A 15,894-nucleotide genomic window follows, 5' to 3' on the forward strand; every position below is an offset into this window, starting at 1 on the left:
CTCTCCCATCAATCACTTCTATTACATTCACTGCCACTGAAAGGAATGTGAGCATTCTATCAATAGGGTCGTTTCTGATTGAACACTACGGTACACAGACCTATGTCAGACCATTCAGCCACACTTACATATAAACTGAGGTTGGACGCATTACCTTCGAGAACAAAATCACAGGTAAGCATCAGGGAAACACAGCAAGGGGGATGGTTCTGAGGTGGAAGAATGAGAAAAGATGACAAAGACCACCAGAACCAATGCCAACTGAAAGAACCCGGAGCTGAGTGGTTTACAGAGGACAAGAAAAAGGAAATTTTATTTTTCCATTTCATACCCCTCTATATCATTTAGGAGAGAAAAACATTAAAACAAGCCACACACACATTCCTCACATACTATTTTTTTTACTATAAAAGACCAAGAAAAAGAAGGGAGGAGAATAAAAAGGTATATACCGATTCTAATCTTTTTGAGACGGAGTCTGGCTCTGTCCCCCAGGCTGGAGTGCAGTGGGGCAATCTTGGCTCACTGCAAGCTCTGCCTCCCAGGTACAAGTGATTCTCTGCCTCAGCCTCCCGAATAGCTGGGACTACAGGCGCCCGCCACCACGCCCAGCTAATTTTTGTATTTTTAGTAGAGACGGGGTTTCATCGTGTTAGCCAGGATGGGCTCGATCTCTTGACCTCGTGATCCACCCGCCTTGGCCTCCCAAAGTGCTGGGATTACAGGCGTGAGCCACCACGTCTGGCCCAATTCTAATCTTTAAAAAAACATGGTGAAACCCCATCTCTACTAAAAATACAAAAAATTAGCTGGGTGTGGTGGCACGTGCCTGTAGTCCCAGCTATTCGGGAGGCTGAGGCAAGAGAACTGCTTGAACCCGGGAGGCGGAGGTTGCAGTGAGCCGAGATCATGCCACTGCACTCCAGCCTGGGCGGGAAAGCAAGACTCTGTCTCAAAAAAAAAAAAACACACACACAAAGAGGCCAGGCGTAATGGCTCATGCCTGTAATCCCACCACTTTGGGAGGCCGAGGCAGGCGGATCACTTGAGGTCAGGAGTTCTAGAGTATCCTGGCCAACATGGTGAAACCCCGTTTCTACTAAAACTATAAAAAAATTAGCCGGGCATGGTGGTGCATACCTGTAATCTCAGCTACTTGGGAGGCTGAGGCAGGAGAATTGCTTGAACCCAGGAAGTGGAGGTTGCAGTAGGCTGTGATCGCACCACTGAACTCCAGCCTGGGCAACAGAGCAAGACTCCGTATCAAAAAAAAAATATATAAGGCCAGGGGCAGTGGCTCACGCCTGTAATCCCAGCACTTTGGGAGGCAGAGGTGGGTGGATCACAAGGTCAGGAGATCGAGACCATCCTGGCTAACACAGTGAAACCCCATCTCTACTAAAAATACAAAAAAAATTAGCTGGGTGTGGAGGCAGGCACCTGTAGTCCCCAGCTACTCGGGAGGCTGAGGCAGAAGAATGGCATGAACCCGGGAGGCAGAGCTTGCAGTGAGCCAAGATCGCACCACTGCACTCCAGCCTGGGGGAGAGAGTGAGATTCCATCTCAAAATAAATAAATAAATACATACATACATACATACACAAGGAGGCCTGGTGTGGTGGCTAACACCTGTAATTCCAGCACTTTGGGAGGTCAAGGCAGGAGAACTGCTTAAGGCCAGGAGTTCAAGACCATCCTGGGCAACATAGCAAGACATCTCTAAAAACATTTAAAAAATTAACCAGGTGTGGTAGCACACATCTACTAGGGTCACTCTTCAGCCCAAGAGTTTAAGGTTGCACTCAGCTATGATTGTGCCACTGCACTCTAGCCTGGGTGACAGAGCAAGACCCTGTCTCTTTTTTTGTTGTTTTTTTTTTTCAAACACAGTCTGGCTCTGTCATCAGGCTGGAATGCAGTGGCGCAATCTCAGCTCATTGCAACCTCCGCCTCCTGGGTTCAAGCAATTCTCCTGCCTCAGCCTCCCGAACACCTGGGACTACAGGTGTGCTTCATCGTGCCTGGCTAATTTTTTTATTTTTAGTAGAAACGGGGTTTCACCGTGTTGGCCGGGCTGGTCTCAAACTCCTGGCCTCAAGTGATCTGCCTGCCTCGGCCTCCCAAAGTGCTGGGATTACAGATGTGAGCCACTGCACCTGGTAGAGACCCTGTCTCTTAAATAAAAACCAGAAAACACAAAGAGATAGATTACCTAGGATCTTCTGCCTTTTCTCTAGAGAGATGAGGTAGCATTCAAAATTTCATTTGTAAGGTTTAATAAAACACATAGGAGAAAATGACATTCTGGTAAAGAGCCAAAATAACTGTTGTGAGCATGATATTTGGTTGTAAGTTTTCTGACAACCAAGGCAAAGATGAAAATCTGATTAGTCATGTTATCAGCTTTGTTTTCAAAGGAAGAGGATCAATTCATCAACATAAGAATTTGCCTACAGATATTTTCCACTTGTCTCAAATACCACCTTGGTCTCAATGCCAATTTTCAGACCAATTACCAAGCACAGGATTGCCTTGGATTCATACTCACCCCCATTTCTTCTTCCCGTACCACATACTGGGCCACTTTGAATGAGCTCAAATATTCATTCATGCCCTGCAATTCTGTGTCTTCAGTCTCATCCTGGTTACGGTCTAGCAGCCGTTCAATGGCCTTATCATCGTAGTGGATAACACTGCTATCTTCTCCCTCTTTGTTGTCTCCTCCTATAAAAAATCAAGGGCCCACATCCCCAAAGTCAGTTTCAGCAGCTGCAGTGGAAAAAGCAAGTCCCACAAGACCCTTGGTATCAAAGATTCTCCCTAACCTTTAGAGAGGCCAAGCCCCACACCAAAACGTAAGTTCCTGACTACCTCACCTCCATCAGTGGCTTCATCCTTGAATAGTTCCTCAGTGCCAAATTTGAGGATATCATCAAGCTCCTGTTTGGACATAGATCCAGTCTTGGAGCCCAGCCCAGGCCGCACCACTAGATGCGTCAGCATCATTTTCTTCTTTGCCACCTGCGTGATGCGCTCCTCCACTGACGCACGGGTCACAAACCGGTAGATCATTACCTTTTTATTTTGCCCAATCCGGTGAGCTCTGCTAAAGGCCTGGAGTTGAACAGGAAATAAAGCCAGAAATTGTATTTTCCTGGTGCCACTCTTATCCTGACTTCCACATAATATTCTAAATTCAGTACAAGGCAAGGTCCACAGCCTACATTCATAGGAAACTTCCTTTTGCACCCCTGCCTCCAGACACCACCCTCTATTATCATGTTACCCAAAATAGGATCACAGCTAACCAAACTCTGGCTTACAATAAGGTAAACAACACAAAAAGAATCTGTTGTTTCTCACTTAAAAACCTAATTCCAGATGGTGGAGCCCTCATAGAGGCCACTATGCCTTTCTAGCATAACATGTTACTTATTAAGGCTGCCTGCTGCCTCTGCTCACCTGAATGTCATTATGGGGGTTCCAGTCAGAGTCATAGATAATAACTGTGTCAGCAGTGGCCAGATTGATTCCAAGGCCCCCAGCTCGAGTGGAAAGCAAGAAGCAGAACTGCTGAGCACCCGGTGCTAATAAAAGAACCAAAAACACCATTAGAAGTGTCTCCTAAATTCCAATTCATAAATGTAGTTTAAAAAATTAAGCCGGGGGCAGTGGCTCATGCCTGTAATCTCAGCACTTTGGGAGGCAGAGACAGGTGGATCATTTGACATCAGGAGTTCGAGACCAGCCTGGCCAACACGGTGAAACCCTGTCTCTACTAAAAATACAAAAATTAGCCAGGCGTGGTGGTATACACCTGTAATCCCAGCTACTCAGGAGACTGAGGCAGGAGAACCGCTTGAACCTGGTAGGCAGAGGTTGCAGTGAGCAGAGATTGCACCACTGCACTTTAGCCTGGGCAACAGAGCAAGAAACTCCATCTCAAAAAAAAAAAAAAATTTAGCTGGGAATGGTGGCACACGCCTGTAGTCCCAGCTACTCAGGAAGCTGAGGCAGGAGAATCACTTGAGCCCAAGAGTTCAAGGTTATAATGAGCTCTGACTGTGCTACTGCACTCCAGCCTGGGCAACAGAGCAAGACCCTAACTCTTATAGAAAAATGTCAGAATAGGCCAGGTGCAGTGACTCACACCTGTAACCCCAACACTTTGCGAGGCTGAGGTGGGCAGATCACCTGTGGTCAGGAGTTCGAGACTAAGCTGGCCAACGTGGTGAAACCCTGCCTACTAAAAATACAAAATTAGCCAGGTGTGGTGGCAGGCACCTGTAATCCCAGCTACTCGGGAGGCTGAGGCAAGAGAATAGCTTGAACCCGGGAGGCAGAAGTAAAAAAGAAAGAATGTCAGAATATAAAACCTCATTAGGCAAACACCACAGTAATAATCATTGTAATCAAGGTCCACTGACGAATACTAATATCGGTGTGAAAGTTTAAGGAGAAACAGGACACTGACATAGTCTCAAATATCTCCCTCAAGCTATTTATCAATCACAATGGGAACAATAGAAACTTTACACTGCAGAAACTCAGCAGGCACCACCTTAACCAGTGATCAAGTCATTACCAGTAAGGGGACATATGAACATCATGTCCGTCCCCCAGTATGATGAACTGAAAAGGACACATCATCGACTGGGCGTGGTGGCTCACGCCTGTAATCCCAGCACTTTGGGAAGCTGAGGCGGGTGGTTCACAAGGTCAGGAGATCGAGACCATCCTGGCCAACATGGTGAAACCCTGTCTCTACTAACAGTACAAAAATTAGCCGGGCGTGGTGGCGGGTGCCTGTAATCCCAGCTACTCGGGAGGCTGAGGCAGCAGAATGGCTTGAACCCGGGAGGCAGAGGTTGCAGTCAGCCAAAATCAGGCCACTGCACTCCAGCCTGGTGACAGAGCAAGACTTTGTCTCAAAAAAAAAAAAAAGAAAAGGACACATCATCACCTCTGTGGCATTCTTGCCCAGAATGTCTAATCTAATCAAGAGAAAACATCACACAAACCCAAACTTAAGAGACATTCTACAAAATAACTGAACAGTGCTTATCAAAAGTATCTATATTGACCAGGCACAGTGGCTCACACCTGTAATCCCAGCACTTTGGGAGGCCAAGGCGGGCGGATCACCTGAGGTCAGGAGTTCGAGACCAGCCTGGCCAACATGGTGAAACCCTGTCTCTACTAAAAATACAAAAATCTGGGCCCGTGGTGGCACACACCCGTAATCTCAGCTACTCAGGAGGCTGAGACAGGAGTATTGCTTGAACCCAGGAGGCATAGGTTGCAATGAGTCAAGATCGCGCCACTGCACTCCAATCTGGGCAACAGAGTGAGACTCCATCCCGAAGAAGAAAAAAAATCTGTATCATATAAGAAAATAAAGAAATGTCACAGATAGCAGGAAGCACAATAACTAAATGGAACACGGGACCTGGGATTGGATCCTGAAACAGAAAACAGACATCAAGAAAAATTGGTGACATTCATTGAAGTTCTGTCATTTATAGTACAATACCAATGTTAATTTTCTAGTTTTGATCATTGTACTGCAGTTACGTAAGTTATTATTAAGAGAAGCTAGCTAGTTGAACAGTATACATGAACTCTCTCTGCTGTTTTGCAACTTTTTTCTAAGTCTAAAATTAAAATAAAAAGTTTTTTTTTTTTAAACAAGGAGTAGTGATACTGAGCACAGTGGCTTATGCCTATAATCTCAATACTTTGGGAGGCCAAGGCAGGAGGATTGCTTGAGCCCAGAACTTTGTGATCAGCCTGGGCAACATGGCAAGACCCCATCTCTACAAAAAAATTTTTTTAGTTAGCTAGGTACAGTGGATCAAGCCTACAGCCCCAGCTAGTTGGGAGGCTGAAGCAGCAGGATCACTTGAGCCTGGGGGTGTGTCCAGGCTGTAGTAAGCCATGATTGTGCCACTGCTCTCCAGCCTCGGCAACAGAGTGAGACCCTATCTCGAATAAACAAAACAAAACAGGCTGGGCGTGGTGGCTCGTGCCTGTAATCCCAGCACTTTGGGAGGCCGAGGTGGGCGGATCATGAGGTCAGGAGATCGAGACCATCTTGGCCAACATGGTGAAACCACATCTCTACTAAAAATACAAAAATTAGCTGGGCGTGGTGGCACACGCCTGTTGTCCCAGCTACTTGGGAGGCTGAGGCAGGAGAACTGCTTGAACCCGGGAGGCGGAGGTTGCAGTGAGCCAAGATCGTGCCGCTGCACTCCAGCCTGGGCGACAGAGCAAGACTCCATCTCAAAAAAAAAAAAAAAAAAAAAAAAAAAAACCTAGTAGCGTCTACTGAGGCAGACAAGTCTGCTAGTAACTTGCTATTTGAGCTTGAACAAGTCCTGACCCTTTGCTTGCCCTCGAGATACAATGCTTTCTTCTTTCTAGCAGAAAGAACAAATACCCCAAAAGAAAAAATCTCCTAGGAATAGTCCAATACATTCGTCCAATTGAGACATTCAAAAGCTTTACTCCATCTCAAATGACAAAGTCCCAAAAGAACTACACAGAAAAGGAGATGCACAAGAAGTTACAGTCCAAAGATATAAGCAAATGAGGATTCCTGAAACTAAACAACTCCTTCTCTCTCACCATTGAAGCGGTCAATGGCCTCTTGCCGCATGTTCCCAGTGATTCCACCATCGATGCGTTCGTATTTATAACCTTCATGTTCCAAGAAATCCTCTAGCAGGTCTAGCATCTTGGTCATCTGCAAAAGAAGCACGGTTTAATTATGGAAGAGTCAGATGGTAATCCCTTTCCTTAGGTCACTAAGGGTTGTCTATGACTGTTCCCTAAAGCTCCCAGTCCACATGATACCTGGGAAAAGATGAGTACACGATGCCCACCCTCCTTAAGGTTCTTGAGCATTTTCTGCAGCAGCAATAATTTCCCAGATGCTCTGATTAGGGCACTGCCATCATACATGCCATTAGGCATCTTAGGAGCTTCCTGAGAACAAATGCAAAGAAAAAAGTATTAAAAGAAAGCCCACATGGAGAAGACCCAACCCAGGGAGGAACAGGAGATGGCACTACATACCATTGCAGCCACAGGGAAGAGGTATGGATGGTTGCAGCACTTCTTAAGATCCATCACCACATTCAGCAGAGACACCTGGTTGCCACCACCTCGGGCATTGAGTGCTTCAAAATTTCGAGTGAGGATGTACTTGTAGTATTTCCTACATGGGCAAGGTAGAAAGACAGGTTAGACTTGAGAGCCTTTCAATGACTAATAATGCAGTGCCAACAACTGAGATCTTTCTTCCAACACATCCCACTTTGGAACTAAGGACACCTAACGCACAAGCACTACCACCACCACCATTTTAAATAAGGAAAGGTATAACCTAAAATAAGTAAGAACTATGCGCTCCAGCGCCCTAGCATCAGGTTTCTTCAGGCCTTGCTTGCTCCTGTCACCAGATGCCTTGAAGCTGAGTGGGGGAGGAATAGGAAACACTCTGCAGACTGGCAGATGTCTAAATGGAGTCTGCTTCTGTCCCTCCCAACTCACTTCTGCATAGGGCTCAGCTCCACACGCACAATTAGTTCTGTCTTGGAGGGCATGTTCTTGAACACATCGGCTTTGAGCCGCCGCAACATGTGCGGCCCCAGCATGTCATGCAGTTTTTTTATCTGGTCCTCCTTGGCAATGTCAGCAAACTCCTCCAAAAAACCTTCCAAATTGCTTCAGAAAGAAAAAGGAAAAAAGTTATTGGAGAAGGAGAAAGGAAGAAAGAAAAGTGATACAGGAAATGGGCAACAGGAAGAATGAGAGGCACAATTATGAGCCGATTACAGATAAACACATACTTACTGGAACCTCTCGGGGGTGAGAAAGTTGAGCAGATGAAACAACTCTTCCAGATTGTTTTGTAATGGTGTCCCAGTCAGCAACAGCTTGTGCTGGAGTGAGTAACCATTCAATACCCGGAAGAACTGGTGAAGCAGATGGAGAAAGGTGAAATCCAATGAAAACAGAGCTCTAGCAAATCTCTACAAAATTTCAAGTTTTTCACTGCCCAATAGTTAAGCATCCCACTCCTCACATTCTTTTTAAAGGCCTGGCCACCAAGGGCTGTCACATACAAGGAAGGAAGGCAGAGACAATTTTCCCCTCTCCTCTCCATCTACAAGTTTTCCCCTTAATGAATTGGTAGTACTAGAAAAAACCCAAAGTGGGGGCTCCAACATCCCTCCCTCAGCCCTCACCTTAGACTGATTGTTCTTCAGCCGATGGGCTTCATCCACGATGAGGCAGGCCCAATCAATAGAGCCCAAAATAGCCATGTCAATGGTGATCAATTCATAGGATGTCAGCAGCACATGGAATTTCACAGATGCCTCTTTCTGCACATGAAGGCAACTTGGTCACTACTAGTCAGTTCCTCTGTGTAAGCACAACCAGGAGACTGATGGAATGTTTTCCTCCTCCCAGGGTTACCCTTTTGCCTCACCAGGGACCAGATCACAAGGAGGTAAACTAAGCCAGAAGCCACAACTCTTTCTCTAGGGTGGCTTCCCTCCCCTGAGATACCTTCATGCGGGAGGCCTTCTTGCCACCACGAATGGCATTGTCTTCAAAGGAGAACTCATTCTCTCGGATGATGGCACGGCTGTCCTTGTCACCCACATAGGTTACGACATACATGTCTGGAGCCCACATTTCAAACTCCCGCTCCCAGTTGATGATGGTAGAAAGAGGGGCGCTCACTAGGAAGGGGCCTTTGGAATGACCCTTTGAGAAAAAAGAGGAGAGTCAGGACTGAGGGCCCCAGCACACTGCAACCCCAGCGAACACCCACCACCCTGCTGCCCCCTCAAGCTGAGCCAAGGACTGACACACCTGCGCTGCTGCTCCTGCTCTCACCTTCCTCTATACAAGTGCCCAGCCCACTCCTTTCCAAAAACCCAAGGTCCCACCATAACTACAAGTCTTACCTCTCCCATTAAGTCTTTATATACTTTTTTTCTGAGACGGAGTTTCACTCTTGTTGCCCAGGCTGGAGTGCAATGGCGCAATCTCAGCTCACTGCAACCTCCACCTCCCGGGTTCAAGCGATTCTCCTGCCTCAGCCTCCCAAGTAGCTGGGATTACAGGCGTGCACCACCACATCCGGCTAATTTTGTATTTTTAGTAGAGACGGGGTTTCGCCATGTTGGTCAGGCTGGTCTCGAACTCCTGACCTCAGGTGATCCACCAACCTCGGGCTTCCAAAGTGCTGGGATTACAGGTATGAGCCACTGCGTCCAGCCAAGCCTTTCCATACTAATTCTACTCATAATTCTACTTCCCTCAACACACAATCATTCCCCTAGAACTGATACTCTATGGATCCACTGCTAATCCTACCCAGGGCTCCATGCCCTCAAATCTTCCGCTGTGTACATGTGTTTATCCACTATCACATTTATCTACTATCTACTAAACACATGTGTACATGTGTTTATCTATTATCCACAGTGTTCTTGAAGGTCAGAGACCAATTTTTTTATTCCCTTATCTCTCTACTCAGTGTAAGTTAAGGCTTCAAACACAAAACACCCACACAAAAAACTATCCACCCCAGATTTCCTTACCTCCTTGTAAAGGGAATACAGGAAGACTGCTGTCTGTACAGTTTTCCCAAGGCCCATCTCATCAGCCAAGATGGTGTCAGTGCCCTGAGCCCAGGAGAAGCGCAACCAATTCAGGCCCTCCATTTGATAGGGGTGCAGGGTTCCACCTGTAGCATCCAGGTACTCTGGCTGTCGCTCATACTTCACTGTTGGCTGAAGGATGAAACAGAGAAGTCAAGAGCTGGCAAGGAACTCCCCTCCTCCCCTAATAGAGCAGCTGCTTCCTCCTCACTAGTCTTCACGGATCCTCTTGGGGAAGAGCTCCGGAAAATTCGGAGGGAAGAGATCCCCTATGATTACTGCAATTTCATGTTCAGTTTAGGGTCCTCCAGGAAACAGGGCTTAACCAGACCTGATTTTGATCCTACAGATCACTGAGGAAAAGCACGTCACAGACTCCCTACCAATACAATAATTCTACTAGTCAGGATCCACCAGGTAAATAATCGTTATGTCCCTCTTAGATTCATCTTTTTAACTTTAATCACCCTCAAATTACACTGTACAAACAAAACCCAGAGGAACTGAGCCTGAATTAAGCCAGATTCCTATGTAAGTGCATAAAAGCTAGGCTATGTGGCCCCTCCCCCCAGACAACACTTCTTCAATCATTCAAAATATACCTCCTTTTTTTTTTTCTGATGACAAAAGAAGAAAGTAATCCTAGTGCTTTCTGATATATAGAGATGTGGAGAAGTGGGGAAGCCGACTTTGTGAAGTAATCTCAGCTACAAAGTTACTATCTGCATTTCATTACTTAAGAGTACCATCATTAGACTGCAGCAAAGATACATTGTCCTACCCAACAAACTACAGTCCCTTCCACCCCCACTCACATCAACTGTTGGCGTTTCTGGAGGCCTCTCCAACTTCCGAAGCTTCACCTTCTTGAGCTTCTTGCCTGGTCGGCCTTCCTCACCCCTCATTAACTCCCTAAAGAAGAAAGACATCACACAGCTGCCCAAAATCCTTTTCTATAGAAGAAACAACTTGGCCAGGCACAGTGGCTCACACCTGTAATCCCAGCATTTTGGGAGGCCAGCACTTTGGGAGGCTGAGACGGGCGGATCACCTGAGGTCAGGAGATCGAGACCAGCCTGGTCAACATGGTGAAACCCCGTCTCTACTAAAAATACAAAAATTAGCTGGGCATGGTGGCAGACGCCTGTAATCTCAGCTACTCGGGAGACTGAGGCAGGAGAATTGCTTGAACCCAGGAGGCGGAGGCTGCAGCGAGCCAAGATCGCACCATTGCACTCCAGCCTGGGGGACAAGAGCAAGACTTCGTCTCAAAAAAAAAAAAAAAAAAAATCAGCTAGGTGTGGTGGCGTATGCAAATAATCCCAGCTACTCAGGAGGCTAAGGCAGGAGAATCGTTTGAACCAGGAAGTCGGAGGTTGCAGTGAGTCAAGATCACGCCACTGCACTACAGCTTGGTGACAGAGCAAGACTCCATCTCAAAAAAAAAAAAAAAGAAACAACTCTATGCCTCACCCAAAATCACTCACCTGTGATTCCAATAGCTCTGCTTGAACAGGTCGTAATCCTGGATCTCCACATCCTCACTCTCCCAAGAAGCCTGATCGTAAGGTAAGTCCCGCCACTTGATCAAGTAGTGGACGTGGCCCTTCTTGTCCACACTGCAAGTCCAGGAGAGAAAACCCTCAGAGCCAGAAAAGGCAACCCTCCTCACTTCCTCTCAAAAACTGGCAATACCGTTTGTTTCACACCAGACCTCTAGGTATGCCACAGATCACACGTTTTCAGAGCCTCTACTGTACCAGTCTCTGACCAAAAATTATCTCTAATTTATACTTTCCTAGAGCTCAAACACCAGAATTCAGTCAGTTAATAATTAACATAGAGTGTTGGCCGGGTGCAGTGGCTCACGCCTGTAATCCCAGCACTTTGGGAAGCTGAGGCAGGCAGATCGCTTGAGGCCAGGAGCTCAAGACCAGCCAGGCCAACATGGCGAAACCCGTCTCTACTAAAAAAAAAAAAAAAAATTAGCCAGGCATCAGGCCGGGCGCGGTGGCTCACGCCTATAATCCCAGCACTTTGGGAGGCCAAGGCAGGCGGATCACCTGAGGTCGGGAGTTCAAGACCAGTCTGGCCAGCATGGAGAAACCCCGTCTCTACTAAAAATGCAAAAATTAGCCGGGCATGGTGGCAGGTGCCTGTAATCCCAGCTACTCGGGAAGCTGAAGCAGGAGAATTGCTTGAACCCGGGCGGCGGAGGTTGCAGCAAGCTGAGATTGCGCCACTGCACTCCAGCCTGGGCGACAGAACGAGACTCCATTTCAAAAAAAAAAATTAGGCAGGCGTGGTGGCACACGCCTGTAATCCCAGCTACTCTGGAGGCTGAGGCAGAGAATCACTTGAGCCTGAGAGGCGGAGGTTGCAGTGAGCTTAGATCATACCACTGCACTCCAGGCTGGGCCACAGAGCAAGACTCTGTCTCAAAAAATATAATAAATAAATAAATAAATAGGCCGAGTGCGGCGGCTCACGCCTGTAATCCCAGCACTTTGGAAGGAGGAGGTGAGCGGATCACAAGGTCAGGCGATCAAGACCATCCTGGCTAACACAGTGAAATCCCGTCTCTACTAAAAATACAAAAAAAAAAAAATTAGCCAGGCATGGTGGCGATGGCCTGTAGTCCCAGCTACTCGGGAGGCTGAGGCAGGAAAATGGCGTGAACCCAGGAGGCAGAGCTTGCAGTGAGCCAAGATCACGCCACTGCACTCCAGCCTGGGTGACAAGTCTGTCTCAAAAAAAAACAATAATAATAAAATAAATAAATAAAGATAATAACATGAAGTGTCAGGCGCAGTAGCTCACGCCTGTAATCCTAACACTTTGGGAAGCTGAAGCAGACAGATTGCTTGAGCCCAGGAGTTTGGGACAGCTATGAGCAGTGATCACGACACTGCACTCAAGCCTGGGCAACACAGCTAAAATTTGTCTCAAAATAAATATATAAGGCTGAGCGTGGTGGCTCACGCCTGTTAATCCTAGCACTTAGGGAGGCCAAGGCAGGCAGATCACCTGAGGTCAGGAGTTCAAGACCAGCCTGGCCAGCAGAATGAAAACCCTGTCTCTACTAAAAATACAAAAAATTAGCTGGGCATGGTGGCTTGCGCCTGTAGTCCCAGCTTCTCAGGAGGCTGAGGCAGGATAATCACTTGAATCTGGGAGGCAGAGGTTGCAGTGAGCCGAGATCACGCCACTGCACTCCAGCCTGGGCACAGAGTGAGACTCTGTCTCAAAAACAAAAAACAAACAAAAAAAACCAGTGTCTTCCAAGTCTAAGTTACTGGTGACAGCCATTTTCCCAATCTCTTTAGCAGGACTCTCCCACGGAGACTGCCCGTCTCCCGTGTGCTCAGCTGGTACCTGTGGTTGAGGATTCGGTGGATCATCATCCACTCGGGTTTTATCCCATAGCGATAGAAGCGTTCCTCCATCTCTGCAAATTTAGGGTCCTTGTTCTTTCGCTTTCGGCTTTTCTCTTCATCACCACCAAAGTCCCCAGAAGGTGGCTCATCCATATCATTCTTCCGCTGATAGTTTCGGAACATCACCTGACAGTGCAGCTCCAGCTTTGAGCGGAAAGAGAAAATCAGCCACCAAGAAGCTGTGTTCATTCCTTCTATCCACAAGGCTCTTTTGTCACTATCCTCTTCATCGTAGCCCCTACATCTCCAGACTATCCTAAACTTACCTGCAGTTCAGAAACCCAGGAGCAGTGCCAGTAAGACATGCCTTGCCATTTCACAAAGAACTGCCGCTCTGGCCGCCCCTCCAAGGGCTTTGGGGAGGGCGTGTTGGGATCAGCATCTGGAGGCCGAGGCACTGGTGTGGGAGATGGTGGCTGACCCCACTTCCAGATTAGGATCTTCTGCACTTTGCCCTTCAGAGCTGGACACTGAGAGAAAAAGAGACAACTTAATCTCAAATCATAACCATGGGAGGAGAAGGGACAGCCCACAGTCTCAACTTCATCAAAGGACGATTCAGATCTCATTTCAGACCTGGAGCAGTGGCTCATGCCTGAAATCCCAGCACCTTGGGAGGCCGAGGCGGGCAGATCACGAGGTCAAGAGATCGAGACCATCCTAGCTAACATGGTGAAACCCCGTCTCTACTAAAAATACAAAAATTAGCTGGGCGTGGTGGCATGCGCCTGTAGTCCCAGCTACTTGGGAGTCTGAGGCAGGAGAATCACTTGAACCTGGGAGGCAGAGCTTGCAGTGAGCCAAGATTGCCCCACTGCACTCCAGCCTGGGGGACAGAGCAAGACTCCATCTCAAAAAAATAAAAAAAGATCTCATTTCAAATAAAATCTAATCCCAGGACTCCTCCAGGGAGAAAATACAGGTTGAGGACCCCTCATGTGAAATGCTTGGGACCAGAAGTATTTTGGATTTCACATTTTTGGATTAGGGTGCTCAACCTGTAATAGAATTCCCTCTCCATTTCTGGACATCGTCCAGGATTTGCGTGCCACCATCACTCCTATCTGCTTAACAGAGCCAGTAGTTAGACTTTAACAATAAGCCAGAACAATCAGGAAATCAACAGACTTAGAGCACAGAATTCCTCCCTTAAGCAATCTAAAGCAGTAAGTGGCCCTATTAAACATTCTAAACTGGCTGGCATGGTGGTAAACACCTGTAATGCCAGCACTTAATGAGGACAAGGGAGCAGAATGGTTTCAGACCAGGAATTCAAGACCAGCCTGGGCAACATAGTGAGACCCTGTCTCAACAGAGATTTTTTTTTTTTAATTAGCTGGATGTGGTGGCATGCACCAGTACTCCTAGCTACTCAGCAAGAGGTTGAGATAGGAGGATCACTTGAGCCCAAGAGTTGGAGGCTGCAATGAGCTATGACTGCACCACTGCACTCTAGCCCGGATGACAGAATGAGACCCTGTCTCCAAAAAAAAAAATTTTTTTAACAAAAAAATTGAAAACATTGTAAGCTACCAAGACCCTGAGGCAGGGTGTCAACACAGGGACAAATGTTCTCAGCTAGAAGAACATTGCTTCATCTCCTCTTAAGAGAGCTGGCAAAACATCAACTCCTCAGTTTGAAGTTAGTCCTATATTTTCCCAGGACAAAAGTATCCCAACACTATAGGATGAAGGAGAATACCTTTCTCAGGGCTGAAAAGCTCATAGTTCCTCTCCTGCACCCCAGCCTCACAATAGCCTACATAGAAAAGACTACACTTTCCCATTTTTTGCCCCGGCTGAGATCAGTCACTCACCGTACAACGGGGACAGAGCCATTCACCGTTGGGGATCTCTGGAAGTGGGGGATTCAGGCAGTGGATGTGGTAGGAAGAAGGACAGGTATCACAGCAGAGCAGTTCCCCACCATCCTTGCAGACCCGACAGAATTCCATATGGTGGTCATCCTCCTCTTCGAGGTCTCCCCCAACCTCTTCCAGGATCTCCTCACCCTCCGAATTGTCCTCTTTAGCTTCCCACTGGATGCCTTCCTTCTCCTGCAGTAAAGGACCACAGATTCAGATTATTACCCCCACCCGCCCACCGCAGTCTGAAGCCAGTGCCCATCATTCCTTTGAATGCTTCCCAAAGCTCACAACCCGCAGCACCAGCATTTCCATTTCCATCCAGGCCCCGAAGAGCTTTACTGTCCCACCCTTCTTCTCATGGGTTCCAAGGGGCCACAATGGCCAGACACTCACGCAGTGTGGGCAGCTCCACTTGCCCTCGGGAGCCTTCTCCATGTCGGGATCCAGGCAGACCATGTGGTAAGCACGGGGACAGGTATCACACAGGATGATCTCACCGCCTTGCTGGCACACCTCGCAATAGTCCTGGTGGTCTGTCTCATAACCATCCACAGCAGTCACCTCCTCCTCGCCTGGGCAAGGAAGAGGGAAAGCCCAGTTATTGGAAAAAAACTACCTCCCCCCACCCCCCGACCCCTATCTCCTTAGGGAGATTCTTCCCCAATCACTCCCACCTCATCCCATCACAAATATACAGAAGAGAAACACACCTTTCTTTTTCTTTTTAGTGGTTCGGAGTTTCTTGCGGCTGCGGCTACTACGGCTGGTGGAACCATCAGAAACAGAATAGCTATTGATACTGGCATCATCGAAGTCAGATTCCACATCTAAGTCATCATCCTCACTCTGGCAGGATGAAAAAGAATAAGGTTAGACGTTCAAGCCAAGGGGAAGGACAGAGTGGC

At 47.4% G+C, this 15,894-nt stretch overlaps 1 protein-coding gene across 3 annotated transcripts in view, besides 2 other annotated features; it reads right to left on the reverse strand.

Annotated features, from left to right (window-relative positions):
* Window positions 1-15,894, reverse strand: part of CHD4 (chromodomain helicase DNA binding protein 4) — a 37,298-nt gene that overhangs the window by 14,753 nt on the left and 6,651 nt on the right. For 2 of the 3 annotated variants that reach the window (NM_001273.5, NM_001297553.2), the window contains 18 exons: window positions 15,700-15,835; window positions 15,383-15,561; window positions 14,939-15,178; window positions 13,388-13,591; window positions 13,060-13,265; window positions 11,172-11,303; window positions 10,500-10,596; window positions 9,625-9,816; window positions 8,582-8,782; window positions 8,257-8,394; window positions 7,862-7,983; window positions 7,559-7,732; window positions 7,082-7,223; window positions 6,860-6,991; window positions 6,632-6,749; window positions 3,464-3,588; window positions 2,878-3,115; window positions 2,550-2,725 (listed from right to left, as the gene is read on the reverse strand). In NM_001273.5, the coding sequence (NP_001264.2) occupies window positions 2,550-2,725; window positions 2,878-3,115; window positions 3,464-3,588; window positions 6,632-6,749; window positions 6,860-6,991; window positions 7,082-7,223; window positions 7,559-7,732; window positions 7,862-7,983; window positions 8,257-8,394; window positions 8,582-8,782; window positions 9,625-9,816; window positions 10,500-10,596; window positions 11,172-11,303; window positions 13,060-13,265; window positions 13,388-13,591; window positions 14,939-15,178; window positions 15,383-15,561; window positions 15,700-15,835 (2,952 nt within the window). The remainder of the gene's footprint in view (window positions 1-2,549; window positions 2,726-2,877; window positions 3,116-3,463; window positions 3,589-6,631; window positions 6,750-6,859; window positions 6,992-7,081; window positions 7,224-7,558; window positions 7,733-7,861; window positions 7,984-8,256; window positions 8,395-8,581; window positions 8,783-9,624; window positions 9,817-10,499; window positions 10,597-11,171; window positions 11,304-13,059; window positions 13,266-13,387; window positions 13,592-14,938; window positions 15,179-15,382; window positions 15,562-15,699; window positions 15,836-15,894) is intronic. The other variant, NM_001363606.2, reaches the window with a different exon arrangement.
* Window positions 11,357-11,858: an enhancer, noted in NCBI's record as "H3K4me1 hESC enhancer chr12:6705357-6705858 (GRCh37/hg19 assembly coordinates)". NCBI's record gives its function as "activates a minimal SCP1, AML or CMV promoter by ChIP-STARR-seq in naive H9 embryonic stem cells {active_cell/tissue: H9 hESC(naive)}" and the evidence as "EXISTENCE:reporter gene assay evidence [ECO:0000049][PMID:30033119]".
* Window positions 11,859-12,358: an enhancer, noted in NCBI's record as "H3K4me1 hESC enhancer chr12:6705859-6706358 (GRCh37/hg19 assembly coordinates)". NCBI's record gives its function as "activates a minimal SCP1, AML or CMV promoter by ChIP-STARR-seq in naive H9 embryonic stem cells {active_cell/tissue: H9 hESC(naive)}" and the evidence as "EXISTENCE:reporter gene assay evidence [ECO:0000049][PMID:30033119]".

The sequence above is a fragment of the Homo sapiens genome, chromosome 12 (genome assembly GCF_000001405.40).
Source record: "Homo sapiens chromosome 12, GRCh38.p14 Primary Assembly".
Classification (NCBI taxonomy): domain Eukaryota; kingdom Metazoa; phylum Chordata; class Mammalia; order Primates; family Hominidae; genus Homo; species Homo sapiens.